This window comes from Homo sapiens, chromosome 12, assembly GCF_000001405.40.
Source record: "Homo sapiens chromosome 12, GRCh38.p14 Primary Assembly".
Classification (NCBI taxonomy): domain Eukaryota; kingdom Metazoa; phylum Chordata; class Mammalia; order Primates; family Hominidae; genus Homo; species Homo sapiens.
Genome location: NC_000012.12, coordinates 115827825 through 115843572, shown reverse-complemented (window position 1 = coordinate 115843572; position 15748 = coordinate 115827825). Strand labels below are relative to the sequence as shown.

At 45.0% G+C, this 15748-nt stretch overlaps 1 long non-coding RNA gene across 1 annotated transcript in view; it reads left to right on the top strand.

The window, feature by feature from the left end:
* LINC02463 (long intergenic non-protein coding RNA 2463) overlaps window positions 1-15748 on the top strand; it is an 80288-nt gene that overhangs the window by 42698 nt on the left and 21842 nt on the right. The window contains exon 3 of the long non-coding RNA XR_001749337.2: window positions 10935-11167. This is a non-coding gene — a long non-coding RNA (long intergenic non-protein coding RNA 2463). The remainder of the gene's footprint in view (window positions 1-10934; window positions 11168-15748) is intronic.

Below are 15748 nucleotides of genomic sequence, written 5' to 3'. Positions count from 1 at the left end.
ATCTTTTTGAGGAACAGAATTCAATCCATGACATTGCCCAAGCCAGAGTCTTGCGACCCATCCTGGAACCATCCTTCTTCCCTTGCACTGCTCACACCAGCCAGCCCCAAGTGCTGCTGCCTGGGCCAGGGCAATAGCCTCCTGTTCATCTCCTGTTCTCCACGCTGGCCTCCCTGCCCATCTTTTCCCAATCCAGCAGAAAAGCAATCGTTTTAGGGTGAACATCTGATCGTGTCCTCTTGCTTGAAACCTTTCTGTGCATCCCCATTGCTCAGAGAAGAAAGCCCCAAAACCTTCCTTTAATCTTCAGAGCCTTGTGTGATTGGCCCTCTGTGGACTCACCAGGTGCATGCTGAGGTACAGTCCCCTTCTTCCTCCATCCCAGTCCAACCACGTCCTCTGAGAAGTCCTCCCTGGCTTTTCCCAATTTAGGTCATGTCCCCTTTCTTTATGTATCAACATTACAATGAGTTACTTAACCGTGTGAATATCTGTTTGATGTGTATCCCCCACTGGACCTTAAACTCTATGAGACCAGGGACTCTGTCTTGTTTATCCAGGTATCCCCAGAGCCCAGCACCTCGCCTGGCACACAGTAGGTGCTCAGTAAATGCTTGAATGGATGAGTGAGCATCCCGTACTTGATAGTATTCTCATTGACTCTCAGCCCCATGAATGGGCATCATTGTTGCAGACTGATTAGTGCAGTATTTTTGACGACATTTTCCCAGTTTATGGACTTAGTACACAATCAACTAATAATTGCATTGTTAGTTATCCAATTATTTGTTCAACGACCATTCCCTGGATAGAATGTAAATGTCACAAGGTCCTCTGTTCACCATTATTATCCCCAGCATGATGCTGGGGGCACACGGGACATTATTGATGAGGGTGGGTAAATGGATGAATGAATGAATGAACCGTGCCCAAATCTAGGCCGACAACATGCATTTTTGCCCACACTCATCACTCATAGGCTCCATGTCTATCCCAGCCTCCCCTCTAGTATTCGTTTCCTACTCCTGCTGTAAAAATGACCCCAAATATTATTATCTTGCAGCTCTGCAGGTCAGAAATGGGCCTCCCTGGGCTAAAGTCAAGGTGTGAGCAGGGCTCTGTTCCTTCTGGAAGCTCTAGGGAAGAATCAATTTACTTGCCTTTTCCAGCTTCTGGAGGCTACCCGCATTCCTTGATTCATGGCCTCTTTCATTTTCAAAGCCAGCAATGGCTGGTCGAGTCTTTCTGATATCATCTCACTCTGCCACTGACTCTCCTGCCTCACCCTTTACCCTTTTTTTTTTTTTTTTTTGAGACAGCATTTTGCTTCGTAGCTCACTGCAGCCTCAACCTTTCTGGCTCAAGTGATCCTCCCACCTCAGCCATTCTCCCACCTCATCCTCTCAATTATAGTCTGGAGTAGCTGGGACTATAGGCATGTGCCACCATGCCTGGCTAATTAATTTTTTATTTTATTTTTTAAGAGATAGAGTTGCACTATTTTGCCCAGGCTGGTCTGGAACTCCTGGGCTCAAGCGATCCTCCCACCTGGCCTTCTCTAAGTGCTGGGATTACAGGCATGAGCCACCATGCCCAGCCTGCATGGACTCTTGTGATTACATCGGTCCCATCCAGATAATCCAGAGTCATCTCCCTATGTTGAGGTCAACTGACGAGCAACCTCGGTTTCACCTGCTCCCTTAATACCTCCTCGCCCTGTCACCCAGCATATTTACAGGTTCTGGGGATTAGGAAGTGGACGTCTTTGGAGGGTTGTTATTCTGCCTGTCACACCTCTTTAATTTTCTTATTGTTTGAATAAAGCCTGCAGTCACGGTGTGTGCAGTGGGAAGAGAGAAGGGGGAAGGGGAAGGGCTCACCATGTATAGGGAGGACCTTTGTCAGTAGATCACACTTGAATGTGGGGTCATTGTCTAAAGCATTAGACTCAGCTTCAAGAGTCGATCTGTTTCCTGCTTTGCCAACCCAGACATGGCTATCCCTTAAAGAGGACTGAATATGTATGAATCAATGGCTGGGATTTGTTTTCCCACTGAGTGTGGAGCCTGTACCCCTGCCAGGGTAGACAGCGGGATGGTGCTCATGTCCCAGTGATATGTGGGAGTGAAGGCGCCCTTCCCTCCACTAGCCTCCCAAAGTAAATGGAGGCCAAACCTCTGCCTGATTTATCTCTTCTCCTTGATCCTCCCTTGCCTGCCCTCGGGTTTGAAACTCAGAAGGGAGAAAGAAGAGCCTGAACTTTCAGCACAGCTCTACTGCTCACAAGCTGTGGGACCTTCAGCATGTCGCCTCCTTGCAGCCACCCTGCTTTTCTGTAAATTGGGCATGATGAGAACACCTGCATTGCAGGCCTGTTGGGTGGATTAGACAAGGAAGGCATCTGCAAAGCACTTTGATATACTGTGCATACAGTAGGTGCTCAATAAATGCTTGCTCTTGTGCCCTTGCCCTATTCCGGCCATGACTTTACTTTGCATTACTCCATACCAGTCTCAGCTCTGCTATTACAGACAGAATGCCATTTTGAACTTGTCTTCAAGCTCATTAAAGAGTGTGCAGGCCAGTTGTGGTGGCTCACGTCTGTAATCCCAGCACTTTGGGAGGCTGAGGCAGGTGGATCATGAGGTCAGGAGTTTGAGACCAGCCTGGCCAACATGGTGAAACCCCATCTCTACTAAAAATATAAAAATTAGCTGGGTATGATTACCAAATCCCAGCCATTGATTCATACATATTCAGTATGGGTATGATGGCAGGTGCCTGTAATCCCAGCTACGCGGGAGGCTGAGGCAGGAGAATCATTTGAACCCTGGGAGGTGGAGGTTGCAGTGAGCCGAGATCATGCCACCACACTCCAGTCTGGGTGACAGGGTGAGACTCCGTCTTAAAAAAAAAAAAAAAAAAAAACCAGTGTGCAAGACTACAATATGTTCTAAGAAGCAGCGACTGAACTTTGATGCAGGTCCAGCACTTGTACCAGGCAGGCAAATTTGGCAAACACTCGGCAATAGCCTTAGTGGAGCTGCAGACACCCTTGGTCCAGCTTGAGGGCAGATCACCAAACCGGATCACGTCCCAGTAAGTCCTAACTAAAGATGCTCCCATCGGACTCACATACAGAGTATTTACTCAAGGAGTGTTTGCTGAACACCAACTCAGCGCCGGGCACGCGGGCTCGGTGGTGGAGATGACATCATTCCGCCTGGGTGGCTGTGCTGCCTGGGAGATAACTCATAGGCCATATGCACAGCTTGGGAGCACAGGAAGTCCTTTTACAGAACTTTCCACATTTTAGGAGTGAAGGATGATAGGAATGGGGCTTTGAAGCCCTGAGCCCTTAATAGGCAGAATCCTACATGGTGTTTACTTCACCCTCAGGCACCCCAGCCTCACTTAGCAGTGTTGCAATTAACACAATACCACTGTCAGAATAACCTCTAACCACAGCCCCGGCTACATCGCTCACCTCCTTGGTGGCTTCTCTCTACTCGTAGGATAAACCCAAGCTCCTTAGCCCTGAGGACTCCTTACAGGGTCCTCCCCAGCTGGGCACCCACCCACCCTCACTGCTATGCTCTGAATGTTTGCGCCCCATCCCTAATTTCTATGTTGAAATCCTTACCCTCAAGGTGATGGTATTAGGAGGTGAAGCTTTTGGGAGGTGATTCAGTCATGGAGGTAGAGCCTTCTTGAAAGGGATAAGTGCCTATGAAAAATGGATTCCCAGGAGGTGCCTTGTTCCTTCCACCACGTGAGGACACAGTGAGAAGGCGCCATCCACAAGCCAGAAAGCGGTCCTCACCAGACACCAAATCTGCCCTCATCTTGGACTTCCCAGACTCCAGAACTGTGAGAAGTAAATTCTTTTAGCCAGGTATGGCGGCTCATGCCTGTAATCCTTGCACTTTGGGAGGCCAAGGTGGGTGGATCAGCTGAGGTCAAGAGTTCGAGACCAGCCTGGCCAACATGGTAAAACCCCGTCTCTACTAAAAATACAAAAATTAGCCAGGCGTTATGGCTCATGCCTGTGGTCCCAGCTACTTGGGAGGCTGAGGCAGGAGAATTGCCTGAACCTGGGAGGCAGAGGTTGCAGTGAGCTGAGATCATGCCACTGCACTCCAGCCTGGGCAACAGAGTGAGACTCAGTCTCAAAAATAAATAAATTCTTTTTCTTTATAAGCTACTCAGTCTGAGGTATTTTGTTATAGCAGCTCAAATGGACTAGTTGGAAAATCTCTCTTAGCTTCATCCCTCTTTTCCACTCCTAGCAGCTAGAGTTTCTCTAATCTCCTCAAAGGCTGCATTTTCTCTCTCTCCTCTTAACCCTCTCCTTGGCTAGTCCCTCTGCCTTGAGCACTGTTCCCTCCCATCCTTTGCCTAGCCAACTCCAATCATCTTTAGGCTTCAGCATAAATCTCACTTCCTCCTGGAAGCCTTCCATGATACCTCCATGCTAGGTCGTCCTCCTGTGCCCTCCAGATGGCCCTGAGCTCTGTCTTTTCCAGAACTCATCACTTTGAATTATACCTGCCTCATCCCTGTCTGTCTTCCAGGAAGACTGGAGTCTCCTGAAGGTTGAAGCAGAGTCTGATTTGCTCTCGGTTGCATCTGCAGTGCCTGTATTAGTTTCCCAGAGCTGCAGTAATTAAATATCAAAAACTGGGTAGCTTAAAACCACATAAATTTATTCTCTTACAGTTCAGGAAGCCAGAAGTCCAAAACCAAGATGTCAACAGCATTAGTTTGTTTTGTGGAGCTCAGAGGGAAAATTTGTTCCATGCCTCGTCCTCATCCTCAGCTTCTTGGGAAGTTCTTGGTGTTTGTGTTTTTTTTTTTTTTTTTTTTTTGCTTGCAACAGCATCACTCCACTCTCTGCCTCTGTTTTCCCATGGTCCCTGCCCTGTGTGCCTTTCTCTGTCTTCTTTTAAGGACAACAATCATTGGACTTAGAGCCCACCCTAATCCAATATGACTTTATATTAACTGGATTATATCTGCAAAGACACTATTTCCAAATAATTTCACATTCATAAGTGCTGAGGGTTAGGACTTGAACATATCTTTTCAGGGGATAATATTTAACTCACAACACTGTCTACTTCATCTGTTCATTGTAAATATTTGATGAATGAATGACTGAATGCAGAAAGAAACAAACAGGTTGCCTAGGAGTCCCTCTTTTTTGAGGAAATGTTGAATCTGTGTTGTCACATAAAAGAAAGAATGTAGAACAGGAAAAAGAAATGTACAAGAGAATTTAGATTAAAGCACGCATTCACACACACACACACACACACACACACACACACACACACACACCCTTGCCAAGCGCAGCTGTGGGCTGGACAGGGGAGTGGTGGCCCTGGGCGGGATGCTGGGTAGCCATTCTCCCCCATCCCTTCCGCCCTCTACCTGTCCACCAGGGCCACGCTGTGGTGGGGCCCAGGCACCATTTTATTAGTTGTGATCCACTGTGGTTAATTCTCTTAATCTAGACTTACGTGCCCATAAAGCCCAGACCTCAGGTATTGGATTTCCCTGATCAAAGGGCGACATGTGGGGGGCGCTGCCCAGGAGGGCTCAGCAAGGCTCGTAAACATGGCCCGGGGGACACACACACACACACACACACACACACACACACACACACACTCCAAAAGATGGGCCGATCAATGGCTGGGGTGATCCCGTGTGAAATATGACTGCCGCTTAAATGCAGCTTCTGGGATTTATGGCCGGGTATTAATCTACCCTGCTTAATGCCTTGACCTCTGCCCTCCAGCAATTCAGGGGACGGTGCCAGTGAGGCCAGAAGCTAATTCCATGGATTAAAGCAGAAGGAGCCCCCAGCATTTGGAAGTGTCAGGGACAGTTTAAGCGCTAGCAAAGTGTCCCAGCTCTCCCTATTAATGGTGGCTGGGAATGGTTGGGTTTTTCAAGCAGGCAACACACAGAAGGATCGTAGAGGAAAGGACCTTTTGGTAAATGCAATCAGTTTCCTTCTCTAGTCCAGGCCTGTATGTACTTAATTCCTCTCTCTTCCTAGCCTCCAGGACTCTGCACATCAATTTCTTCCTAGAGTACACTTTGCTTTGTGCATAGTCAGGTTGCACCTTAAATGCCACCTCCTCCAGGGAGCCTTCCTAGCCCCTATGCCTTGTTAATGCTGCTCACTTGACCCTGAATAGCCTCAGAATTGTCACTCATTTTTCTAGTCTTATTCATCCACCAAATTAAACTTCTGAGGGCAGGAACTGAGTTGTCACCTAAACCTCCTAGAGAGCCAAACTCATTGTAAAAACTCAACCAATATTTATTATACGAGTGAATCAAAAGAATTCAAGCAACAACTAAGACTACAGTTGATTTTTTTTTTTTTGAGACAGGGTCTTGCTCTGCTGTCCAGGCTGGAGTGCAGTGGCTCTATCACAGCTCACTGCAGCCTCGACCTGACAGGGTCAAGCAATCCTACCACCCTCAAGCAGCTGGGAGTACAAACATTCACCGTCAGGCCTGGCTAATTTTTAAAATTTATTTGTAGAAATGGGGTCTTGCTATGTTGCCCAGGCTGGTCTTGAATTCCTGGACTCAAGCAATCCTCCTGCGTTGGCTTCCCAAAGTGCTGGGATTACAGGTATGAGCCACTGTGCCCAGCCCAGTTGATGGCTTTGAGGGATAAAATACTTGCATTTGGTGTGTTAAGACTTATGACCATACATGTCCTCATCCTCCCTCTGAGCCTCAGTTTCCTCTTTAGTAAGACAGGACTAAGAGTAGTACTAATTACACACCACCATCATTTGTTCAGTTATTCCACAGGTGTTTATTGAGCACTTTGTATGTGCAGGTGCTGATCCAGAATGGGGACAGAGCAATAAACAAAACAGACAAAACCCTTGTCCTGGTGGACAATGACATTCTGGTTGAGGGGTGACAGAAAATATATGAGCCAGTGTTAAGTGGTGAGGAAGAACAACAACAACAAAAAACAGAATTGGGGAATGAAGATTTAGGTGGAGAGTTTGGGATTTTGGATAGGTGGCTAGGGAAAGTCTCATTGACAAGGTAGTAGCTTTTGTTATTTTTGTTTGTTTTTATTGTTATGGATCTTAATATTTAATTTTTTAAAATTTTAATTATGGATACATAATAGTTGTACATATTTATGGGGTACATGTAATGTCTTGATACAGGCATACAATGTGTGGTGATCAGTTATTTCTTTGTGTTAAGAACATTCTATTCTTTTAGTTATTTAAAAATATCCAATAAATTATTAGCTATAGTCACCATATTATGCTACTAAATACCAGATCTCTCTCTCTCTCTCTCTCTCTCTTTCTCTCTTTCTCTCTTTCTCTCTCTCTCTGATGGAATCTCACTCTGTCACCAGGCTGGAGTGCAGTGGCATGATCTCGGCTCACTGCAACCTCTGCCTCCTGGATTCAAGCGATTTTCCTGCCTCAGCCTCCTGAGTAGCTGGGATTACAGGCATGTGCCTCCACGCCCAGCCAATTTTTTTTTTTTTTTTTTTTTTTTTTTTTTTTGTCCGGCCAATTTTTGTATTTTTAGTAGAGATAGAGTTTCCCCAGGTAGCCAGGCTGGTCTCGAACTCATAACCTCAGATGATCCACCTACCTGGGCCTCCCAAAGTACTGGGATTACAGGCATGAGCCACCGCGCCCGGCCTAGATCTTATTCTTTCTATCTATTTTTTACCCATTAACCGTCTCCTTTTAATACCCCCCTCCCACTACCCTTCCCAGCCTCTGGTAACCATCATTCTACTCTCTATTGCCATGAGTTCAATTTTCATTTTTTTTTTGGCTCCCACATATGAGTGAGAACATGCAATATTTGTCTTTCTGTGTCTGGCTTATTTCATAATGTCCTGACATTTAACATAATGTCCTCCAGTAAAGACTAGGAAGTGAGGGAGAGAGACGTGTGACTATCTGGGCATTCCAGGCAGAGAACCGCCAGCGCAAAGGCCTGAGGCAGGACCCTGCCTGGTGTGTTTGAGGAAGAGCCAAGAAGCTAGTGGGATGTAGAGGGAGTGATGAGGAAAGAAGGAGGGATGAAAGACAGAGACTATCTGAGATTAAAATCAGTTAATATATATGAATTCCCAGCACTGGAATTAACTGAACCATCGTCCATTCATACAAGAGAGTTCTATACAACTGTTAAAAGGAATGAGGTAGATGTGTATGGGCTGATACAGGTATATCTCCAGCGGGCAGATCTTCAAGGTATAATTTTATTTTTTATTTTTTATTTTTTATTTTTTGAGACTGAGTCTCACTCTGTCCCCCAGGCTGGAGTGCAGTGGCATGATCTCGGCTCACTGCAACCTCTGCCTCCTGGGTTCCAGCAATTCTCCTGCCTCAGCCTCCCGAGTAGCTGGGATTATAGGCATGTGCCACCACGCCTGACCATTTTTTTTTTTTTGTATTTTTATTAGAGACGGGGTTTCACCATTTTGGCCAGGCTGGTCTCGATCTCCTGACCTCAAGTGATCTGCCCACCTCAGCCTCCCAAAGTGCTGGGATTACAGGCATGAGCCACCACATTCTTAAATATTTTTAGAAACACATGTATATTAAAAATACTGTGTGAGTAAAAAAACCTCCAAACCCAAAAGAGCATATTTATGTGTGTCTATACAGCTGTAGATAAATGCACAAGAGAATGTCTGGAAGAACACATACTAAAATGTGGACAGCGTCCAAATCTGGAGAGGAGGTGGGACTGGGGGAGAAAAAAGAGGGCCTGAACTATTTTACTCTTTATGCTTCTATATTATTGCTTAAGGTTTTCACAACAACCATGTACTTGCTTAAAGGATGCATTTATTTAAAAATTTTAGTAATCCTTTATAGGAGCAACAAGACAGAGAAGAGAGAGGGACTCACTTTTTTTTTTTTTTTTTTTTTTTTTTTAATTTCACCTTCTCAGGTGGATCAGAGAGCCTGGCGATCCACCTAGCCATCCTGGAATTTTAGTGGAATGTGCATTCCACTTGAGAAAGTTGTGGAATCATGAATCAGAAGCTGGTTGTGGAAAGAGCCCTTTGTTGGAGTTACCAACAAAAAGTCTATGGCATTTCGCATTATTTGCCCACAAGAGCAAAATAAGGGACTGGAATTTTGTGATTAATTCCAGGCCTATCAGCAGCTTGGGGAGACTGATTCTCTGAAAGCCAGTGGTGTTTATTTCCATGGAAGGGTCTGCCTACAGATTTAGGCAAACTCACCCTAGGGAGTCAGACAAAACAGGAACATGTCAATATTTTATGAAGATACAGAGAGCTCAATGCCTGTAGACCTTCAGGCTATTCTTTAGTCTTTGGGAAGGGCTGCAGGGTGATCTCTTTGGTAGCCCCCTTAGCATTGATTCCCTCTTTTCATTGCTGGGCAGCAGCCGCTAGAGTGGAAGGACACAGCTCATATTTAGCTGCAGGGTTGGACTCTGACAGGCCCAAATCACACTGGGCCAGTAATTCCATCCCTCTTCCTGGCGATTGGATTAGATTGGGTGTGTAACGAAAAGGGTCAAGTCTGAGTAAGGTTTAGGATTTTTCTTGTTGACTTCAGGAATATCCAGTTTTAGGATGAAGACGACACTATGTAAGGCAGTCAGAGAAGAATCCTGATGACAGCATTAAGTGCCTGGATCAAGCCACACCTGAATCCTTCCCTTTTCTCTTTATTGTTTAATTTTACTTCCTGTTATCTTAAACCAAAAGATTACTCAATGACACAGCTTGACAACTGAGATTCAGAATGCACGTTGGTAGCAGTTCTTTTCTATTTCTTAATTGTTGGGGAAATTAAGAAGGAAAATCATCCTTGTCCAGGAGTCTGGGGCATCAATTCTTGCTCAACCTGTGCTATTAACTTACTGTGTGACTGCATGTCATTTCTTCTATGTGACTTTCAGAGGACTCTCCTCTAAAATAGAGAGTTGGGTAGAGAGGATCTAGAAAGATCCTTATAGAGTTAACACTTTATGACCTTCTAAGTCCTCAAGGGGTGTCATAGGACATGTTGACACACCAACAGAGAACCTCCTAAGGTCTATGTGAAACCCCAGATGGGGCCTAGAAAAAGCTGTAACTGTGTCATGGTGGTCTGGAGTTTGAATGATCCCTTTGGTTTGGAGACAGGGAGCTGTCACCCTATATATTGGGAAGCTGGGATGATGCTGGTGGTGGAGGCAGTCGAGCTGGGTTTAACACGGCAGAGGGAACCCAGGCTGGGGCCTGCCCTGTTGGTAGGTGAGGTGTGTGTGACCAAAGTCACACTCTTTAATGATTTTCTCTATGTGATCCTCAATTGACTATTGATGTTTTAATTGTGTATTCATATGGCTTTCTATATTTTATCAGAGCCCAGTAGCCTTTGAAAAACATGATTTTTGGAGAAGGAGCTCAGAAACATGAACATCTCTCCATCCCATTCCCCTTTCTGGGTGGTGTGGGTGGCTATTTTAAAGTTGGGCTTGAGATGCTTTGCCACAGTCATTCAGACACACTTGGGTCTATCTGGAAAATGATAGGAGGGACTTCCAGGAAGTTTGTTGGAATGAGTGACAGAGGGGCCTTCTTGGACAGGATGGGGAGGGTACAATGCCTCCTGGGAGCGTATGGCTGATTCTGGCTGGGGACCCCATGGGCTGGAAGCCTGGCCTGGCCCCCAGGAGACTTGGGGAAAACAAGTGTTGTGGACTGAATGTTTGCATACCCTCAAAACTCATATGCTGAAGCCCCAGCCCCCTTTGTACTGGGATTAGGAGATGAGGCATTTGGGAGATAATCAGGCTTAGGTGAGGTCATGAGTATAGGCCTTCATGAGGGTATTAGTACCTTTATAAGAAGAGAAAGAGACACTGGAGCTTCCTTTCTCTACCAGGCAAGGACACAAGAAGATGGCTGTCTACAAGCCAGGAAAAGATTCTGCACCAGGAACTGGATCAACTGGCACCTTGATCTTGGACTTCCCAGCCTCCAGAACTATGAGATGAGAAATAAGTGTCTATTGTTTAAGCCTCCCAGTCTATGGTATTTTGTTATAGCAACCCAAGATGACAAAGACAACAAGCCTAAAATGAAAAATGGCAAAGTAACCAAGATGTCCTTCAAGAGGTAAGTGGATAAACAAACTGCAGGACATCCACACTGTGGAATGTTATTCATCAATCAAAAGTGACATGGCAAGCCATGAGAAGCCATGGAGAAAATTTAAATGCATGTTTCTAAGTGGGAAAGATCAAGATGAAAAGCCTACGTATAGGATGGTTCCAACTATGTGACATTCTGGAAAAGGCAAAACTATAAAGACAATGGAAAGAATAGTGGTTGCCAGAGGGTTGGGAGGAGGGAGAGAAGGGTAAATAGGCAGAGTACAGGGGATTTTCAGGGCTGTGAAATTATCCTGTATGATACCATAATGGTGAATACTTGTCATTCCACATTTGTCAAAGCTGGCTGGGTGCAGTGGCTTGCGCCTATAATCCCGGCACTTTGGGAGGCCAAGGGGGAAGGATGGCTTGAGGCCAGGAATTTGAGACTAGCCTGGGCAACATAGGGAGATCCCATCTCTACAAAAAATAAAAAATTGGCCTGGTGTGGCGGTGCATGCCTTTAGTCTCAGCTACTTGGGAGGCTCAGATGGGAGGATCACTTGAATCCAGGAGTTCGAGGCTGCAGTGAGCTATGATTGTGCCTCTGCACTCCAGCCCAGGTGACAGAAGTAAGTAAGTAAGAAACAGAGTGAGACCCTGTTTCTTAAAAAATGAACAACAAGAAAACAGCAAAAAAAAAAACTTTGTCATAGCTCACGGAACTGTACAACACAAAGACTGGGCCCTAAAGTAAACTATGGACGTGTATCAGTATTGGTTCATCAATCACAACAAATGCACCACAGTAATGCAAAGGTATTAATAACAGGGAGGTGTGGGAGGTGAGATAGGGAGGGGAGTATATGGGAACCCTCTGTACTTTCTGTGTGATTTTTCTGTAAACCTAAAACTCCTCTAAAAAATAGTCTATTGTCAAAAAATATGCCAGAAACCATGTCCTCTAAAAATGTTCAGCCACAGGTAGGGCAATTTGTATGCTCCTGTGACAAAGTATAGCACAACACTCACACAACGACAACAACAACATCCTGCATGGGACTCATTCTAATCTCCACATATGGAATGCACTAGAGGCATGATCTACACATTTTTTATTCTATACCATTATCAGTAAATTTGTTTTTGCACATGTACTGCCAATGCATGTACATCTATTTATGTTTAACTATATCCATGAATGACTGTATTAATTTATTGCATGCTGTCTTGGTTCACATTCCTCTTATAACAGGGCCTGTAACAATTGCTTAGGTACAGATAGCTTATTGAAGGTGGTCCCAGGTAGCAAGAGTGAGGCAGTTGGGGTAAGAGATACAGGACAGAGGCAAATCAATATAATAATGGGTTACTGAGTGGGTTGTCACTGTGGACACTGGGCTTGATTTTTTGTCTCCTGGAATTCTCTGTCCAGAGAACAGGAAGCTAAGGTGTTTATCTACCTGCTTCCGCCTCCCACCAGTGGAGCTTTGCCCCCCGGGACTGTCCATGTCCCTGCACTTCTGGGGCTGCACAGGTGGAACAAGCGCTACAAAAAGCCAAAGCCCTGGGGCACAAGGCAGAAAGTTGAGTGAGTCTGGGGTGGGGCATTGTCAAAGCAAACCCAGCTTAATGCAAACATCTACTGTGGTTGCAGCCAAAACTGCGGTGAGCCAAAGGTTTGTGACATATGGCCCCATGGTGTCTGCTGCATTATAAATACACAGGATACACAAAACCAGAACTTGAACACCACAAATCCCAAATCCAAGTGCTATTATTTTCCTGCTTCCCAGTGGATCATTTGGCACTTCCTTGGAGCTTGTGCACCTTACTTTGCAGATCTACTCTGAACAACACTGTCAGTTTCACCATCCTAGAACAGAAGTGTTGGTTAAAGTAGAAGTCTTTTCTTTTTCCCTTTTAGGGGAGCTCATTGGGTATTTAACAAAATATATTTGAAAGACAGTGAGATACCGCTACACACCTATTAGAATGGCCAATATCCAGAGTACTGGCAATACCAAATGCTGGTGAGGATGTGGAGCAGCAGGAACACTCATGCATTGCTGGCAGGGATGCAAAGTGGTACAGCTGCTTTGGAAGACAGTGTGGCAGTTCCTTACAAAACTAAACATACTTTGACCATACAGTCCAGCTATTGTGCTCCTTGATATTTACTCAAAGGACTTGAGAACTTATGTCCACACAAAAACCTGCACACGGATGTTTATAGCAGCTTTATTCATAATTGCCAAATCTTAGAAGCAACCATGATGTCCTTCAGTAGGTGAATGGATAAATAAACTGGTACATCCAGACGATAAAATATTATTTAGCACTAGAAAGAAATGAGCTATCAAGACATGAAAGACATGGAGGAAACTTACATGCGTATTATTAAGTGAAAGAAGCCAGTCTGGAAAGGCTGCGTATTGTATTCTTCCCACTATGTGACATTCTGGAAGAGGCAAAACGATGGAGGCAGTGAAAAGATTAGTGTTTGCCAGGGACTTGGGGAGGGAGGGATAAATAGGTAGTGTATAGAGGATTTTCAGTGCAGTGAAACTATTCTGTATGATACTAAAATGGGAGATACCTGCCTGTATTAGTTTCTCATGCTGCTAATAAAGACATACCTAAGACTGGGTAATTTATAAAGGAAAGATATTCAATGGAGTCACAGTTCCACATCACTGGGGAGGCCTCACAATCATGGCAGAAGACGAAGGAAGAGCAAAGGGATGTATTACATTGCGGCAGGCAGGAGAAGTGGTGCAGGGGAACTCCCATTTATGAAACCTTCAGATCTCGTGAGACTTACTACCATGAGAACAGTATGGGGCAATCTGCCCCCATAACTCAATTATCTCCACCTGCCCCTGCCCTTGACACGTGGGGATTCTTGCAATTCAAGGTGAGATTTGGGTGGGGACACAGCCAAACCATATCAATGTCATTACACATTTGTCTAAACCCATAGAATGTACAACACCAAGAATGAACTCTAATGCAAACTGTGGAGTTTGTTTGGTAGTGATTTGTCAGTGCAGGTTCACTGATGGTAGCACCTGCACCGTCTGGTGAGGGATGTTAGTAATGAGGGATGCTGTGCATGTGTGGGGGAAGAGGGTGTATGGGAAATCTCTGTACTTTCTTCCCAGTTTTGTGAACCTAAAACTTCTCTAAAAACATAAAGTCTACTTTTTAAAAAAAAAAAAAAACTATTGAGCCAACACTAACATCAGAAAATTTCATATAACAATCTCAATTTCTTAACTTGAAAAAGTGGGATTTGGTCTACCACACTGGACTTCTAGTCCCATAGGATTGTTGAGAGGATGCAATGAGATGGTCTATGTAAAGTGCTTGGTGCATACTAGGTACTCCATAAATATTAAGGCTTAATTTATTTTAAATCCGTGGGGTGTGTTATCCTTATTGAGAATCATTTGTGAATAACTACAGTGTGCAGGGCTTCCACTGACATTATCTCATTCCATGCTCACAGCCACTCATAGTCCGGCTCCATTAATAGCATGGTCCTAATTGGCACCAAATCAACAGAAGGTGATTGGGGTTGGATTTTTTAGATGGGGCAACATGGTTTGCTGCAATCCCCATCACGCCACTGTGTAAGGTTATGTATTTATACTGAGATGCTGGCTTCATAGGCTTGTGTTTCTCATTTGGTGCTGAGCTAGGAGGAGAGGACAGACACTTAAAAAGGCAATGCAAGCATCTCCCTCCTCTTACTGCCTGGTGGAGACTGTGCCTGGGCTGGGCCCTCCATAGGTAGAATGAGGAGGAGCTCTCCACCCTTCTGTGGCTCTCCAGATTTATTGGGAGCAGCTGGCTGATTGCAGACAGACAGGAGCTTTCCTGGTGGAGGGAAGGACTTGTTGGAGAGAGAAGCTTTGGGATCTCAGACAACACTTACGAAAGTTTGCATTCAGGACAAACTGCATGCTGTCCAGTACAGTGTAATAGCCGCAAGCCATGTGTGGCTATCAGGCACTTGCAGCATGGGGAGTCCACATGGAGATGTGCTGAAGTGTGAAACACACACCGAATTTCAAAGACCTACCAATGACTCAGAATGTAAAATATCTCATGAATGCATTTTTCATGTTGATTGCATGCTGGAATGATACTATTTCTCCCCTATGGAGAAGATGTTTTGGGACAGAAGGCTATTCATGGAGCCGGACTGTGAGTGGCTGTGAGCATGGAATGAGATAATGTCAGTGGAAGCCCTGCACACCGTAAGTATTCACAAATGAAACTCAGTAAAGGATAACACACCTCATGGATTTAAAATAAATTAAGCCTTAATATTCATGGAGTACTTAGTATGCACCAAGCACTTTACATAGACCATCTCATCGCATCCTCTCAACAATCCTATGGGACTAGAACTATTCTCATTTTGTATGAGGCACAGAGAAGCTAAGTATGTTGCCTAAGGTCACACAGCTGGTAGGTGCCAGCGACAGGATTTAAACACAGGTCTGTAGAGCCTCCCTATAAATCCTGGCAGTTGCTGGTGTGTGTCTTGGCAGGGACTGTTAAGAGGTTTTGGAAGGCAATGCATGGCATGGTTTTT